General features: G+C 43.8%; 1 protein-coding gene across 2 annotated transcripts, besides 5 other annotated features; it reads right to left on the bottom strand.

The window, feature by feature from the left end:
- TAP2 (transporter 2, ATP binding cassette subfamily B member) lies at positions 402 to 17,310 on the bottom strand. 2 transcript variants are annotated; one of them, NM_018833.3, is made up of 12 exons: positions 17,224 to 17,310; positions 16,312 to 16,808; positions 16,108 to 16,222; positions 14,214 to 14,344; positions 13,725 to 13,930; positions 11,198 to 11,395; positions 10,904 to 11,032; positions 9,189 to 9,377; positions 8,838 to 9,011; positions 8,501 to 8,660; positions 7,971 to 8,107; positions 402 to 889 (listed from the first exon to the last, which is right to left on the bottom strand). In NM_018833.3, the coding sequence occupies exons 2-12, from the start codon at positions 16,802 to 16,804 to the stop codon at positions 860 to 862; spliced, it is 1,962 nt and encodes a 653-aa protein (NP_061313.2). In that variant the 5' UTR covers positions 16,805 to 16,808; positions 17,224 to 17,310; the 3' UTR covers positions 402 to 859. The 2 variants fall into 2 exon arrangements, with proteins under 2 accessions (NP_061313.2, NP_001276972.1); NM_001290043.2 differs by lacking the exon at positions 402 to 889 and adding an exon at positions 3,986 to 7,605.
- Positions 14,110 to 15,729: a meiotic recombination region, noted in NCBI's record as "this region was identified as a recombination hotspot within the HapMap CEU population". NCBI's record gives the evidence for it as "EXISTENCE:nucleotide sequencing assay evidence [ECO:0000219][PMID:20981099]".
- Positions 14,110 to 16,265: a biological region, named in NCBI's record as "meiotic recombination hotspot TAP2".
- Positions 14,670 to 16,265: a meiotic recombination region, noted in NCBI's record as "this region was identified as a recombination hotspot within the HapMap YRI population". NCBI's record gives the evidence for it as "EXISTENCE:nucleotide sequencing assay evidence [ECO:0000219][PMID:20981099]".
- Positions 15,094 to 16,093: a meiotic recombination region, noted in NCBI's record as "crossovers mapped in sperm cells of males of European ancestry". NCBI's record gives the evidence for it as "EXISTENCE:DNA detection assay evidence [ECO:0005519][PMID:11586303]".
- Positions 15,501 to 15,516: a nucleotide motif, noted in NCBI's record as "nucleotide motif; similarity to the predicted 13-mer PRDM9 A binding motif (LD hotspot motif), CCNCCNTNNCCNC".

A 17,686-nucleotide genomic window follows, 5' to 3' on the forward strand; every position in this document is an offset into this window, starting at 1 on the left:
AAATAGGGCAGGGTGTTTTGATCTTTTTTTCCTGCCTGACTTCAGCCAGCAGCCCTCCCTAAATAGCTACAGGCTCCTCTGTGATTTTTCACTCAAGCTCATATTTTGCTTCTCTCTTTTCTTTCCTTCCCCTTTCTCTGAGGAGTGAGAGAATTTGGGTGTATGTGTGGTTGTTTTTTGAGGGTGGCATAAAATTATTATTCTCCCTATTGCCTGACACAAATATCCCTTCAACTGCTATTTTGGTGACTTTGACATGGAAGTAAAACGTACATCTCAATTCATTTTCTTCCTTCTACTTCCTCCTAACACATCAACATAATCCACACTGCCCTGGAGGAGTTATGAAAAATATTCTGAGTTTCTAGGTAGAATATTAAATCATACTTTTAGAGAACACATTGTTGAGCTACAGTTTAATTGAAGGAATTGTACTAGGCTAAGAATTTTGCCAGCTCAAAATACTGGTTTAATTCTTTCTCAGTGGTGATTGACGTCTCAAACCAGCAAGAGGTGTAACATGAGGGGAAGGGGCTGGGGAAGAGGGAAAGGATGTAAGAAACAAAAGAAATAGTTAGAATTTGGGGTGTCCAAAGCAAACTCATGATCCCACCTAGTGAGAATCCATTTGGAAACTGAGGAACCAAAGGCTTTGGGCTCCAATCTGCAGCCACTTCTTTGATACGACTTTGGGATAGGTGGACTCACCCGAAGTATTGTTTTACATGTACTATTTGCCTCAATTTCCCTGTGATGGTTTTGTCCATCACCTCATCCTGAAAAAATAAATGTTGGTGATGCTTTGTTCCACATATTCGTTCATTTGAACTCATTATTCCCAGGAAATATCCATTGAAATTCAAAATATCATGAACTTCCAAAGGGTTTTCTAGAAAAAAAAAACAAAAAAAACCCCTTGATCTTAATGGGTGTTTTTTAATCTGTGCTAGAATCTGTTTGCAATGTTTTATTTAGGATTTTTGTGTCAGTATAATAAGTAAATTCATCTACAATTTTTATATTTGTGCATTGTCATAGTTTAACATCAATATTATACTTGCTTCATAAAAAAATTTTCTTCTATGCCATTGAGCCATTTAATTTTTGTTTGTTTGTTTGTTTGTTTTAGAGACAAGGCCTCACTCTGTTGCCCAGGCTGGAGTGCAGTGGCACAATCATAGCTCACTGCAGCCTTGAACTGGGCCCAAGCGATCCTCCCACCTCAGCCAAGTAGTTGAAACCACAGGCACGAGCCACCACATCTGGCTAATTTTTGTATTTTTTGTAGAGACGGGTTTTCGCTGTTGCCCACACTGGTCTTGAGCTCCTGAGTTCAAGCAATCCGACTGCTTAGGCCTCCCAAAGTGCTGGGATTATAGGTGTGAGCCACTGCACCCGGCCTCTATTTTCAATTTTAAAAGTTTGATATAGATGTAGCATATCTATTTTTTTATTGATAGTAATATCTTCTATCTTCTGTGTTCATACTTTTTTTTTTTTTTTTTTTTGAGGCAGAGTCTCACTGTGCCGCCCAGGCTGGAGTGCAGTGGTGCGATCTTGGCTCGCTACAACCTTTGCCTCCCAGATTCAAGCAATTCTCCTGCCTCGGCCTCCCAAGTAGCTGGGATTACAGGCGCCCACCACCACACCCAGCTAATTTTTGTATTTTTGGTAGAGACAGGGTTTCACCATGTTGGCCAGGCTGCCCTCGAAATCCTGACCTCAGGTGATCCGCCCGCCTTGGCCTACCAAAGTGCTGAGATTACAGGCATGAATCACCAGGCCCAGCCTATTTTTTTGTCCACTTAACTGGTCTAGTCCAGGGAAAGGGAATTAAAGTGTTCTATTGGTAGTACATTTCTGAATATTTTCCTTGTATCTACCTTAATTTCTGCTTTATAAGAGCTACCTATTTGGTATTTAGAACTTAAACACATGTCTCATATATTCATATGAATTTTATACTTTACATTATAAAGTGCCCTTCTTGTCACACTCAATTTTTTTTTTTTTTTTTTTTTTTTGGTGAGGAGTGTCTGAATTTCATCTTGTTTGGTAAGACGAATGTGACCTCTGCTTCCCTTTTGTTTGCCTTCTCTTGTTATGTCTTTGCCCATCATCTTATTTGTTGAAAATAATGAATACATCTTTCTGAGTGGCTTTATGTTAGGTGTCTTTTGCATATTGCAAATAATAGAGTTTTTATCTTAATCTAATTTAAAAATATTTTCATTTATTTAGTTCAGTTAAGAAGCCCATTTATAATTATTCATACAGCAAATAGATTCAGTCTAATTCAGAGATATTAACTTCTGTTAAGTATAATGTTTACATGAGTATTTTTAAAAATCTTTCACTATGTCTTTATTGTGCATTTTAAAAATTTTACCTTTTCAGATATTAAGGAAGGTGTATATTTCAAGGTTGCTTTGATAAGTTTATTTGTATATAATACACTTAGTTCCCTCTTCCTTTAGATAATTCCTATTAGTTTTAAATAATGAACAATCACAAAACTAGCTCATATCCTCTCCCTTCCTCTTTCTGTGTGTGTGTCTACCTTTGTAGTCTTAAATGTGTAAATACGAGCACTTGATTTATTAGTTTTAAAGAATATATTTTGATTCCTAGATGTTACAGACAAGAACATCAACAGGCTTATTTGATATCCTTATTCATTTTTCCACTTATTCTATAATCATTGAGAAATGTGTTTCAATTTCTCAATTAATTTCTTCCTATAATTCTCCTATATTTCTTACATATTTTGTAGTTTTATTGCTAGGTGCAAACTGATTCAGTTTTAGTATAATGTTCTGGTGACTTCATTATCACTATGTAATGGCTGTCTTTGTTTTTACTAATGCCTTTGGTTTTAGACTATATGTTTAGATATTTCTGTAATTACATAAGCTGTCTTTCTGTCTTCTGTTAGTGTTTGCTTTGTGTATCTTATATCTGGTTTTGATTTAACATTTTCATGTTTTTAGGTTTCTTGTGATCTTATGAAGGGCATATAACTGGATTTTGCGATATTGTTAATCTAATCTGAGAACTTTCCTTTAACTCCCATATTTAAGCTATTTATACTTGTGATCACTGTGCTATTTACATTCGTTTCTGTTACAATATATGGTGCTCTGTATTTGCTATGTCTTACTTTGCTTCTTTTGTTTTCCTTGCATCACTTATATTAAATCAATTACATTTTTATTTAAAGTATTATTTAATTTCCCCTTACTGATTTAGGAATTTTAAATTCTAATTATATTAGTTAAAAGTCAGTCTTATATTTTTAACATGTTTACCAAATGTGGCAGCATCTGAAGGTAATCAATATCTCTACCCTCCTTTCAAACAAGACAAAGACTTTAGGTGCTTTAACTTTGTCTGCCTCATTCTCATGTCACTTGTGGTTGCTCTGCCTTATTTTTAAATTTAATAGTCATTTTTATTACTGATTTTTATCGTTACAGTCATATTTCATTTCTCATTCTGATTTTCCAATATTTTAGACAGATTTGTTATTGTTGTTTGTGTGTGTGTTTATTTTTCTCATCTTTGCTCCCTTATCCTTCTGGGTTTAGTATCTCTGTTACTTACATGATAATATTAAAAAGCAAATGATAACTACAATACAATGCTACTTTCACCCAGAAGATTGTCAAAATTTTAAAAATTAACACTGTCTGTTGGTTATATACATATATATATATATGGAGAAACAGATAAACTCATATGTTGCTGCTGGAACTATAAATTAATATAGCCTCTATGAAGGCAATTTTGCAATATCTATCAATATTTGTAATGTATATATTGGACTCAGCAACTCCCCTTTAAGATTGTATCATACTTGTATTTTTGCACATGTGCATTACAATGTCTATACAAGACTAACTAGCAACAGCAAAAGACTTCCAATAACCTAACTAGCCATCAGTAGAAGGAAACAGGATAAATGAAATATGGAACTTCCATAAAATAGAATACTACATAGCCATATATTTTTAATTTAAAAAATAAAGTTCAGAACAGTGAACTTAGACAGCTGCTGTTTGCGAAAATACTGAGCAAGAATAAAGATATACATATTTGCTTAATACACAGTAAACTTCTCTGGAAAGATAAACACAAAGCTGGAAGAACGGATTGCCTATGCAAGAGGAATTAGCAAACCTTGAGAAGGATTGAGAGTGAGGCTTTCCTCTGTATACTTCTTTGTGTCTTTTGAATTTCAAACCACATTCATATATTGCTTATTTAAATAAATAAATAATATATTTTAAAAAGAGGATAGTAGGAAGATAAGTGGAGTCAGGGAGTATAGGCAACTCTTTTGAGGAGTTTTATGCAAAGCTGGGCAAGTCCACCTCTTCCTTAGCTATGTGACCCAGGCAAGTTAGTAAATGTTTCTAAAACTCCATTTTCTCACTCTTAGAATTGAGATAGTAATACCTGCCACATAGAATTATCTTGAAAAATAAGGTAAGAAGACAGGTTTCAGATACTTGGCACAGCAATAGCACATAGTAAGCACCAGTGAATGCTTAGTAGTAGTAGTAGTCTAATTCCTAAGAGTCCATGGAACTCTAGGTTCAAAACCCAGTTTCTTCTGGGACCATTAGATGGCATCAGACTCAAGCAGGTGCTCCTCTAGCTGACAGCTCTAAAACACAAGGAAGATCTTTGTTTTCCTTATTCCCTAGTCCTTTCCCCACAAAATTCTGACAATTACGCATTTCCTGCTTGTTTCACAATTGCCATGTGGATTACAAGTGGCTATCCCTGGGTGGAGGCATAAAGGACTTGAAACTCAATGCTGTTTCCACATAGGGCCGGGCAGACAGGCTATGGAGGTGTTTTGGCATCCAAGGAAATCTATCAGTTTCCCAAGCTTTCCCCTCTCCATTCATACTTTCCTTTAGAAAGAATAAGGCATGCCTGGGTGGGAAAGATACTGCAGGTAAGCGACAAGAAGGGGAAATTACAGGGTAAGGAGATCAATCAAATGGTGATGGGGGGTAGGAGTGAACAAAAAGAACTCTGGAGCAAACCAGGATTAGTGACATCTGTGGTTCCCAGACAAACCACACTTACAGGAATTTGTCTGTCTAGCCCGAATATTTTGACTTTCAGGGAGCATTTTTCTGTGTCCCTGACATAAAGCCTACCTGGGAGTTTCCCCTGAGATAAGAAACTTTCAGGACATCTTAAGGTCTACTGCATCTTCCTGTACTGCCCATCAAGATAAGTTTTCCACCCAGCTTTATCATGATTAGCTGCGTGATTTCATGTCAGTTTCTCTGTAAAATTAGGTTTGACTGTTGCATTATTTTTAAGATGCCTTCCAGGCTTAAAGTATTATGATGCATGGGTATAACTGTACTGAGGAAATCAAAGAATTTCTCAGATCATCTTCTTCTGTGAGGGCTGCAGCTTCCATGTAGTTGGGAGATACAGGAATTATTATTCCTGTTTTATGAATAAAGGACATTTGTGGGAGAGAAAGGAATCAGGCCAGAGTTCTTTCTCTCCAAATGCCTATTTTACCCTCTGTGAAATTTGAGAGATGGATGGGTGTGGAGCTGCAAGTCAGCCCCAGGATGAAAGAAAGGCAAATCTGCACAAGAAACTGCCCACTCTCACCCCATCCTCACTGCACCCTGCTCCCAACAGCTGCCAGGCAAGAAAAAATCCAAAACAGCAGTTCTGGGGAATTCATTGCCAGCACTGGAAACTACCTGCTGTTTCCAGGAATATGAAGGTTTCTCTTTCCTAGAATAGCAACTTTCCAAGGTAAGTCCCTCCCAACAACCAGTGATGTGTACAATGTTGCATTTTCAGTGGTGGGAGTGGGCAGGGAGGATTAAGATTAGTACGATGGTGGAGATATTTATTCATTTATTCAATTGACTATTTATTCTCCACTATGAATTAGGCCCTCGGCCAGGTAGCAGATATAAAGCTTAATAAGATATATGGCTTTCCGCCCAGGTGCTCATGGTCTAGTGGAAGGTCAAAAAAGGTGGGAAAGGGAAGATAGAACTTTAAAAGGGCTGTGAAAGAGGTAACCGCACAGTGATAGAAGCACATGGAGAGTTCCCCAGACTGACGACATAAGTAAGGCCTCCTGGAAGACCTGAACCCTGAGTTAAGTCTTGAACTTGAAAATCAGGGGCGAGTCGAGCAGAAAATGGGCAAGAAAACACCATATGCAAAGGCACAAAGGTGTTGGGGAAGGCAGAAGTTTGTCGTGGAGCTGGATACAACAGGAGAGGGTGAGACAGATGGGCTGGAACAGTGTGTGCTCTGAAAAGGATCTCTGCAGCAGGGCTTGAGAGCACCTGAAGGAATTTCCAGAAATGCCATCATCGTATGTGACACAGAATTTAGAAAAATGACTTTGTGAAGAATGGCCGGAAGAGGGAAGCTAATGGTAGAGAAACCTCTCTGGTGATGGGATCATCTTAAGTCTATGAGTGAAGACTATAACAACGGGACTGGAGAGAAGAGAATAGATTCTGAATTATTTAGAGCTAAGAGCAGCAGAGCTTTTCTTGATGGGATTATGGATTAGGGTTTATGGACCCAAGATGCAATATAATTGATTGGGTCAGGGTGTGGACTCTAGGGTCAGGCCTGTGTTCAAACTCCAACTCCACCACTACGACCACCTTGGGAAAGTCATTGAGCCTCTTTGAGCTTCAGTTTCCTCATCTGTAAAATGGGGATAATAACCAACCTCATAGGGTTGGGGATAATGATTAAAAACGATAATACATGAAAAACACTTAGCATAGCTCCTACTCCCATTAAAACTCTATAAATGGTAGCTGTTACCAATGTCGCTATTAATACTGTTAATCAGGGAACTGTTCTCTGTCCCTCCAGACCCTAGCTTCTTCAAAATAGCAGACACTGGTAGGAACAAGGAAGGATATAGGAAGGCAATCTCATGAATATTTATGTCATTTTTGGTTAATTTCTATCTCAAACAACAGATAAACGACTGATGGGACAGGCAGCAAAATAGCAACTATGGTTATCTCCAGGAAGTGAAACAATGGGTACTTTTACTTTTCTTCTTTGTACTTTTTTATATTGTCTAAATTTTCTATATGAATGTATACAGTTCATGTAAGAAGGAAAATATTTTAAAATATATGTATTATGCCACAAAATACTCCTCATCACCAGGCAAAGCTCTAGTCACCAGGGAATTAAGTTTCCTGGACACAGACAGCCCCCACCCCACCCCACCCCACCTCTCTACCCCACCAAAAGCACACAGTGTCCAAATCTCCATCGTGCCTGCAACTCAGGAACAGCTATCTGGCCGCACAGCTCTAGGGAAACTCAAAGCAGGAACAGCTCTGGGTCCTGGAGACGCCCCTGAGAAGAGGGCCCAGTATCCCTGGGGCCTCAGTCCATCAGCCGCTGCTGCACCAGGCGGGAATAGAGGTCCTGTCCCTCCTAGAGCTGGGCAAGCTTCTGCAGCTTGCCCTCCTGGAGCACCAGGATCTGGTGGGCGCGCTGAACTGTCTGCAGCCTGTGAGCAATCACCAGCACTGTGCGATCCCCACGGGAATTCCAGTCCTGCAGCTGAAGGGGTGATCACAGTGCCTCAGAAAGACAGGAATGAGATGGACACCACATCCACCTGGGCACCATCTCTTATGATTTAGGGTAAAGAAGGTGTGAAATAAAAGAAGGTAGGAAAGGGCAGTAGATAAAGGCCTGGACTGCCCTTCTCTCCCGGCTGTACTGCCACAGCTGGAGGAATGGAAGCCCAGGAGGGAACTGGGGCTGCCCTCACACCACCGGATTCCATTCCCCAACCCCAAGAAGGCACAGACTGTTTCCACTAGTAGGTCCTTCGTCCTCCCTCTGCCCAATTCTGCACAGTCTGATCCTCCCAGCATGCCCCTCCCAGGCCCCACTGTCCCCTGCCCTCTCACGGTACTCACGGCCTGCTCGCACTGCACATCTAGGGCACTAGTAGCCTCATCCAGGATGAGGACCCGCGGGTCTCGTACAAGGGCCCGGGCAATGGCCAGACGTTGTTTCTGTCCCGCAGCCAGCTGGCTTCCCTTCTCCCCTACATCTGAGGAAATCAGAGAAATTCCCTTCCTCAGATACAAGTGACACAGACAACACACAAGGAGGGACAAGTGCACAGCAGGTACTTCCAGTAGGACCTCGGGAGGTGGGAGGGCCCAGTGCGGGGAGGGCCCAGTGGGAGGAGGGCCATGGGGTGGGGACCTGACGGGGCTGCCCACGGAGGGAGCACCACTGCTGCATTGCTCTCTGCAAACAAAGACTCTTGATCAAGAGGGAGGCTGAAGAATTCAGTGTGTGGGGAAGGAGACGTAGGAATGGAGGAAAGGGCAGAGGAACAGCAAACATCAAGCTACAGGGACACGACCTTCACCACTAAGAGTAAGTCTGATTTTCTCTTTTTTACTGAAGGAGCAAGCTTACAATTTGTAGAAGATACCTGTGTATATTCCATGCTCCATTTCCTGGATGAAGTCATCTGCGTGGGCAGCCTGGGCAGCCGCCATCACCTTATCATCTTCGCAGCTCTGCAGCCCATAAGCAATGTTGTTCCTCACAGAACCGGAGAACAGCACAGGCTCCTGCCCAACTGAAACCACCTGTGCAGCAGGGACAGGGGCAGAGGACTATGTGTAAACCCCCAAGGCAGGGGCCCTTTTGTCCTCCCCACCTACCTCCCTCAGAATGAACACCTGGTGCGCCTTCCCGTGGATCTCCCATCCTCTCTCTGTACATGCTCCCCTCTCCTGTCCCCTGTCTTCTCCCTCCTCACCCACCTGGCTGTGCAGGTAGCAGTGTTCATACTGTGAGATGGGCTTTTCATCCAGCAGCACCTGTCCCCCTGTGGGCTGGTACAGATTCTGCAGCAGGGCAGCCACTGTGCTCTTCCCAGACCCATTGGGTCCCACCAGCGCCGTCACCTCACCAGGACGTAGGGTAAACGTCAGCCCCTAGAAAACCAGAAAAAGAGTTAAGGGCCTGCCCCTTCTCCCTCAAAATCCCTCCATTTCTCTTCTTAGCAGAGGCAAGACCAGGTTCTCAGAGGCAAATGAACTATAGGCTGTGATGTCCAATTATGCATTAGCAGCAGAGAGCAAGGGTCCAGGTTTCCTCCCTCTTTCAGGCACCTTGAGCACAGGCCTGTCAGGGCGATTGGGATATGCAAAGGAGACGTCTTGGAATTTCACAACCCCCTGCAGAGTGGTGGGGGCAAGCGTGCCAGGTGAAGGCAGATTTGGCTGTCGGTCCATGTAGGAGAAAACCTTCTCTGCAGCTCCCACGTTGCTGAGCATATCCCCATATATGTATACCAGGGTCTGGAAAACAGGAATGGGAGAGCCGGCTAATTAAACACACTTCTACCAGAAACCACCCTCCCAACTCCTCACACACTCCACTCACAACTGCACTGCTCCTCCTCCATACTCAAAAGAGATTCTCCACTTTTAAATGTACAATTTGGACGGAATTTAAAAGTGGCACCAATACCCCAGTGTTCCAATTTGCAATATAAAGGATATACAGTCCCTTCTCCTACCATACAGCATTGCCTCTAGCCCCAGATCTTTTCAGTTACTGCTTCCTATTACTTGTGCCCAGTTCTGTCTTGCTTGATTAGACGGGGAGCTCCTTAAATGCAGGCACTGTGCCCAACTCACCTTTGTAGCCGTCAGAGTGCCCAGCGCAGTTCTCTACACAAAAAAGATGTTTATCAAGTGTCTAGGAAAATGTTTAAATAAAGCCCTGGATGAAGTAGCTGTTTTTGAGAACTGGTAAATGTAGGAAGAGATCTAAATGCTCACTCTGCCTTTCCTCATCAAACTGTACCACCGGGTAATGAAATGGTAGATGAGGGGAAGTCTCCCTTCATAGACTACTTCAGCTAATACATGAAGAATGATAGAGTATCTCCCTTTTGCAGCCCTAATTCTGTCATGGATGTAGGTACTGCTCATCAGTGGCTGATGTTGCCACAAATAGAGAACCAGACATTGTGTGCCTCTTGGAGGAAGAATGCATCACCACCTAAAAAGTACTGTTGCTGGAAAAAGACCAAAAAAAACCCCTCAATCTCACAAGCTTCTAGGTTTATCTATCAATAGACAGGAAGTACAGAGGCAGAAGAGCATATAATACCACAGGGATTCAGTCAACAAAATCCAGACCCTAAGAAACTCCACAGGACAAACAACCTATTTCTTCAACAAATAAACTGTGCAAGGGAAACTTTTAGACAGATACATGGATTGATGGGTGGATGGATGGATAGATGGATGGATAGATAGATAGACAGACAGACTTAAAAGATGTATCAACCAGTCACAATATGTGGACCATTTCTGGATCCTGATTTAAGCAAAGTATAATAAACACACTCATACACATATACTACATGGATACCACAAGTGGAAATTTGACAATTGACTATTTGATAAATTTTAAGAACTACTGTTAATTTTTTGGTGTGATAATGGCTTTGTTGTTATACACTTTTAAAGATGTTTGTATTTTTAAGAAACATACTGAAATATTTACAGATGAAAGTATACAATATCTTGGATTTGCTTCAGAATAATATGGGTGGGGGGAAGTGGCTGGGGATACAGATCCAACAAGATTGGGCATGAGTTGATCATTGTTAAAGCACAGGATGTATACATGTGAGTTTGTAATATTATTTTGTCTCATTTTTGGCATATGTTTAAAATTCTCCATAGCAAAATTACTTGCGGGTTTTGGTTTTGTATTGTATTGTTAAAAAGAACAAATAAAGCCCAAGGCCCAGGAGTCCACAAAGAAAAAGAGAGGGAAAAAAGGAGAGCAGGCTTGGCTTCTCGCTCACCTGCACATAGCTCCCCACGCTCTCCTGGTAGATCATAAAGGAAAGCAGGCTGCCCTGGGTGAGCTCCCCATCCTGCATCTGCTGCAGCCCACAGCTCAGCATCAGCATCTGCACCCCCAAGTGCAGCACCTGGAAGAGGAGAAGAAAGAGATGAGGCTGGGAATCTTCCCATTCTTTCCCCCTCTCTGCCTCTATGAGACTGAGCTGCAAAGGCCTCTAGAACCAGCTGTAGTTTCCTCTTCCCTTGCCCTCCCCCTTTCCTGGGCTCCTTTCACAACCACTCTGGTATCTTACCCTCCTTACGAGCAGGTACAAGGCGCGTTCCAGGTCTCTCCGCCAATACAGCTGCCGACATTGTTCAAGGGCCTCTTTATAGCGACAGACTTCATGCTCCTCGGCCCCAAAACTGCGAACGGTCTGCAGCCCTCCAACGGCTTCCCGCACCACCTGCCCCGCCCTGGCCACTGCATCCTGGATCTCCCGAAGCACTTCCTGGAAAAGAGGGCCAGCAAACACCAGGGCTGATGTGCAAAGACAGCAGGCCCCCACATCTTACTCCAGCCAGTGAGATGCTCCCTAGTCTACCTAAAAATACCAAACTGTTTCTCTCCCTCTTCCTTACTCTTCTTTCCAGAAGGAATAAGAGTGAAGGAGCAAGGGAACAAAATATTATTGAGCTCTCAGTGTTAGGTAGTATAGGAGATACATGCAATTTTTTTAACCTTCATTTGAGGTAATTTTCCCATCCCCAGTGTCTGAATCAGGAAAGAAGGGTAGTTTTCCCAAGGAGCCACAGATAGTTAAGAAAGGTGGAGATGTAATTCCAAATGGATCAGAGGCCTAAACATAAGAGCTAACACTATAAAACTCCTAGGAAAATGTAGAAGAAAAGCCTCATGCCACTAGATTTGGCAGTGATTTCTTGGATATAACACCAAACGCACAGGCAACAAAAAATAGATAAATCAGACTTCATCAGAATTTAAAACGTTTGTGCATCAAAGAACTCTAGCAACAGAGTGAAAAAGCAACCATGAAATACAAGAAAATATTTGTGAATCATATATCTGATAGGAAATTAATAGGCAAAACATATAGTGAACTCCCACAACTTAAAAAAAAATCAGAAAATGGGCAAAGAACTTGCAGACATTCTTTCAAGAAAGAAACATAAGTGGCCAAAATCACACGAAAAGATGCTCAATATTTACTAATCATTAGGGAAATGCAAATCAAAACCACAATGAGATAATCCTAATCACCTAATCACCATTAGAATGGCTATTAAAAAAAAAGACAACAGAAAGTGGTGTTGATGAGGATGTGGAGAAATTGGAAACCTTATGCACTGCTGGTGGGAATTTAAAATGGTGCTGCCGCTATGGAAAACTGTATGGTGGTTTGATACGATCTGGCTGTGTCCCTACCCATATCTGATCTTGAATTCCCATGTGTTGTGGGAGGGACTGGGTAGGAGGTAATTGAATCATGAGGGCAAGTCTTTCCCATGCTGTTCTTGTGATATTGAATAAGTCTCACGAGATATAATGGTTTTAAAAAGGGGAATTCCCCTGCACAAGCTGTCTTTTCTCTTGTCTGCTGCCATGTGAAATGTGTCTTTCACCTTCCGCCATGATTTGAGGTCTTCCCAGCCACATGGAACTGTAAGTCCAATAAACCTCTTTCTTTTGTAAATTGCCCAATCTTGGGTATGTCTTTATCAGCAGCGTAAAAATGGACTAATACATGGTTCCTCAAAAATTGTTAAATAGAATTGCCATATGATCCAGCAGCTCCACTTCTAAGTATATACCCAAAAGAACCAAAAGCAGGGTTTCAAACAGGTGTACACTCATGTCCACAGCAGCATAATTCACAACAGCCAAAAGGTGGAAACAACGCAAATGTCCATTGACAGATGAATGGATAATCAAAATGTGATATATGCACACAACAGAATATTATTCAGCCTTAAAAGGGAGGAAATTCTAACACATGCTACAATATGGATGAGGCCTGAAGACATTACGCTAAGTAAAATATGCCAGTCACAAAAAGACAAATACTGTATGGTTCCACTTACGTACCGCACCGGGAGTCATCACAATTCATGGAGACAGAAGGTACAATGGAGGTTGCCAGCGGCCAGGGGTTGGGGGTAGTAGGCAGTTACTATTTAGTGGGTACAGAGTTTCATTTTAGGAAGATGAAAAAAGTTCTGGAGATGGATGGTGATGATGGTTACCCAATAACAATGTGGGTTTCCTAAATGTCACTGAACTGTACACTTCAAATGGTTGAAATGGTAAATTTTATGTTATGTATGTTTTACCACAATATAAGAGAAAAAGAGAAGGTGGAGCTGACATTCAGACTTAGGACTTCCTGATGACGCCTCCTTTCCCTATGCTGCATCCAGACTTCTTCTGCTGATTTTAAAGGGAAAATCTCCCTGCCTAAAAGCCTCTAAGAAACCATTTTTAATCTTCGCAGTGGGGGCGGGGGATGTACAGACTCCTTTGAGAAGCTAATGAAAAGTTATCATCGCCTATCATCTCCCCTTCCTATTCCCTCCCCCATACCTTCACATACACTTTACATTTTTGTTTACAGTTCTGGAGAATCATGAATCTTCTGAAGTCAAATATCCATTGTTGGATGGCTGGACAAACAAAATGTAGTATATACTACAATATACCTTCTCCCCTAATGGCTGAGAAGAGAACATCTCTCTCTAGGGGATCCTCTAGCCACAAATGTGGAAGCCTCCTCACCTGTCAGTTTTATTCTCCCTTTGGGGTTCCCTTACATGCACGCTCACCTGATGGCGGGTGTTGTACACCTTCTCCGCTGCTATTGTGAAGGGCATGTGCAGCAGAGAAAGGAGGGTGAGTCGAGGCGATATGCTGAGCATGAAGCCATACAGCCCCACCACTTTCACCAGGCTTCGCAAGAGCACATTGGCATTTAAAGGAAGCCAGTTACTCATCAGGGTGGTATCCGAGCTCAGCCGTGAGTTCAGCTCCCCTAAGAAGGACAGAGCAGGTGAGGAAAAAGGAAACCATGTGTACTGCAGGGCCCCCAGAAACTCCCTCCTGACCGTTCCCTCTGACACAGCCCCCTCCTCTGAACATCCTCCTTCACTTGCAGAGGGACAGTGGAGGCTGCTTCTCCACCCTGTCCCAAACAAGAGAAAAGCATCCCCAAGTCCTGGCATACGGGTGAAGGCAGGAGGAGAGGCTGTGGGTGGAAGGTCACTGAGGGGCAAGGGATGTCCATGGGAATCTCAGACCTGGACTCCAGGCCCCACCTGTCTTAGTCTCCTGGAAGAAACCGAGGTCCTGGCGCAGCAGGGAGGAGAAAAGCTGCTCCCGGATCCGCAAGTTGATTCGAGACATGGTGTAGGTGAAGCAGCCTCCTCGGCAGCCTGCAGACAGTGAGCTGTGGGGTAGGAGAATAAGAGGGGAGGGAGATGCAGAGAAGGAGCAAGCCAGCGGGTGAAACAGAGGAGCAAGCCAGGAGTGCAGAGAAGCGCAAAGTCAGGGGAAAGCATGCCAGGAGGGGCAAAAGAGAAAGAAATGAGAGACAGACACACAGAGAGAGAAGAGGTAAGGAATACACAGAGGAAGAAGAAAGAGGAGACATGGTGAGCTAGATGTGAGAACAAAATCATAACATGTACAAATTTACAAGTATTTATGGAGTGCACTCTGTACTAGACACAATAGAAAACTACAATAGAAGGGAAAAGATATTGTGAAAACAAGTATCCCAGTGCTTGCTTCTGTCCCAGCGTCCCTCAGGCTTGTCCCTCTGTGCGTCTCCTCCGCCTTGGTCTCCTTCCTGCCCCATACCCAAAGCCCTTCTCTGTCATCATAGATACTTCATCATGGGAACTGCAATAATAAATTCCCTGCCCCCACAATTCTCTGGAGCCCCAGAGTCATGTGATTCCCATCTTTCATCCTTCGAGTTGGAAAATCCCTCTTAGACCAACTACATGCTACAGTAACACTTAGAGGAAAAAATATAAAGCATAAAAGCATGTATTTTACAAAATATATGTTTCTAATACAAATTTAGTTACCATATTGAAGAGGCGTTTGGGAGAGTCAGACATGATATAATGAGGGTTTGTACTTTAATGACAGGGATGTGTTCTGAGAAATGTGTCGTTAGATGGTTTCATCGTTGTATGAACATCATAGAGTGTACTTACACAAACCTAGATGTCATAGCCTACTGCACACCTAGGCCATGTAGTTTAGCCTATTGCTCCTAGGCTACAAATCTGTACAACATATAACTGCACCTAACACTGTGGGCGACTGTAACACAGAAGTAAGTATTTGTGTATCTAAACATAGAAAAGGTACAGTAAAAATATGGTATTATAATCTTGTGGGTCCACCATCTTATATGTGGCCCATCATTGACCTAAACTTCGTTATGCAGTGCACGACTGTAGTTTCAGCAGAAAGCAGCCAGGATGGAATGAAGGCACAATGAAATGGTTTTCGAGGGTACTCTAAATTAAGTATGACCATAAAAATAGAGACAATCAGGCCGGCTGGGATTTGGGTAAGGTGAGTGCACACCTCCTTAAACTTTGCACCCCAGGTGCCTCGCTCACCTCATCCCAGTCCCAGCCTTATCAAACAGTTTGTTTGTTTGAGTATGTCTAGAAAGAGAAAGGAAAGCAAGTGAAGGGAAAAGAGTAATGATTCTGGAAAGAAAGGTGATAAGCCTCAGAGTAAGATCTTCAGGGACTGGCAAGATGAGCTGGGAAAGAAGAGTGAAAGGGAGAAGCATACCCATCCTGAGGGAGTGACCCTGGAGAGATACTTTGGAGACAGACTTAGGGGTAGGAGGTAGGAGGCAGAAAGAAATGGAATTTCATGGACCTAGGAATGTTGAGAGACAACTGAGAGACATTCCATCTGAGACTTAAATTCCTTTTGTACTACCTTCACTCATAACTTGTTCCTATAATAAGATCAGATAAACTTTGAAGATATTGGATGAATATGAACGAAGGAAGAAATGAATGGATAGATGAAACAGAATGGTGACTACATTCACCATATTTTAGTTTAAGTATTTTTGTGTTTTGCGCCTGAAAGGGCCTAGAAATGGAGTTAGGGAAGTGAAGACCCCTATAAAGATTTGGGGCTAGCAAATGGACCCAGCTGCCCACCACCTACCTGCCAAAGGAGAAGAGGCACATGAAGAAGATGGCACTGGCAAAGGCATGGGGGTCAAAATCACCTCCCAGGATGTCAATCACACGACCAGAATAGTGAGGGATTAATGTCTCACCTGAAAGAGGCATGAAAAATAACACAAGAATGTGCTGGTGCCCAGGCCCTTTTACCACCTCCAACTCACAACGTCCTCTCCTGACTCACCCAAAACAGCAAGGACAAGGAAGAAGAAGGCGGCAACGAGGAGAGGCAGGTCCGGCCTGGAGAGCTTCAGCAGCCTCCACATCAAGACTTTGTTGTTCACCTGGTCCTGCTCCTTCTCCTGGGCTCCAGGAGGGCTCAGAACAGCCCACAGTGACCAGCTGAGCCCCGCAGCCCCGTACCCCACCAGCAGCCAGCTCCAAGGGGCTGAAGCGACTCTGGCTGGGGGAGCACGTGAGGCCCCCGCGACCAGGGCTCTCAGGGAGACAGTCAGGGGGGTGGCCAGACAGAGCGGGAGCAGCAGTGTCCCCACAAATCCCAGCAGCCCTCTTAGCTTTAGCAGCCCCCACAGCCCTCCCAGCCGCAGGGTCCCCTCCAGCCATAGTCCTGGCAGCCCTTGAGGAAGCAAAGTCCCCAGAGGGCCCTGAAGCAGCCACAGTAAAGCCGCGTCCACCAGCAGCAGGGAGGTCCAGGGTCTCAGGTCAGGGAGCCGCATGGCTCTGTCAACGGATACGAGATGAGAAATCATGGGGGTGGAGTCCCAATCCTTGTCCCTGCCCTCCTACCCGCCCGGCTCCGCCTAACCCGTCCATCGGCTTCTCATTTTATCCTATTCAACCCTGAGAGCTCTCCTGAGTAACCGGTGCTCATCCGTACACCCCTCCTACGACAGACAGCTTTCGGCCTTCTGGGGAGCTGGAAGCATGACCATCAGGAGCCTCGTGCTTAAAAAAAAAAAAAAAAAATCCCCGGACCCCCACCCCCACCCCCGCCTGCCGCGGCGAGCTAAGTGGTCCGGGCTCCGCTCCCTCCTATCGCCGGGTGCAGAGGGACTGGGAAGCAGGAGCGTGGAGTGGGTAGTCACTTGGGCTGCGTCCCTGTTGGCGCTCCAGGTTCCCCTCCGCACCAACTCACCAGCCGCGGCGGGGAGACCGCAGCTCCGGGGACTTCTGCTTCAGCGCTGAGGTCCGCTCCGTCTCTCCCAACCTCGCTACCGGCTCTGGTCCGCCAGCTACGCTCGGCCAGGGCGGGCGTCAGGGCTCGGGCAGCTTTCGCTTTCGCTTCCCCAGCCAAGGCCTTCATTCTGGGCTGGGCCGCCGGGAGGGGGCGCGCGAGACCCGCAGACAGCGGAACTGGAGCCCGAACTCTGGTTCGCACTGTACAGGCCTGCAATGAGTCTCACTCGCCTTTAGTGGCGGTTACTCTGGGATATAAAACTGCAAAAATGTTTCTTTATCATTAAGTAAAATACAGTTGTCTCAAGGGCAACTTTATCTGTTGTCCTTGCTTTGTAATTGGAGAATGCTTTGTAATTGGAGAATCACTGAATTTTCTCAAAGTTACTACTTCAAGCTCTGAGCCTACTATTAAGAAGTGC

The sequence above is a fragment of the Homo sapiens genome, chromosome 6 (genome assembly GCF_000001405.40).
Source record: "Homo sapiens chromosome 6, GRCh38.p14 Primary Assembly".
Lineage (NCBI taxonomy): Eukaryota > Metazoa > Chordata > Mammalia > Primates > Hominidae > Homo > Homo sapiens.

Bases quoted from the DNA above. Each gene is read 5' to 3' on its own strand.
- TAP2 (NM_001290043.2), bottom strand. From the start codon at position 16,804: ATGCGGCTCCCTGACCTGAGACCCTGGACCTCCCTGCTGCTGGTGGAC. The intron at 11,033-11,197 runs GTAAGATACCAG...CTCCTCTTCCAG, and splicing joins TGTACCTGCTCGTAAGGAGG to GTGCTGCACTTGGGGGTGCA. The intron at 8,661-8,837 runs GTGGGTGAGGAG...CCTGCTGCACAG, and splicing joins ACTGCTACCTGCACAGCCAG to GTGGTTTCAGTTGGGCAGGA.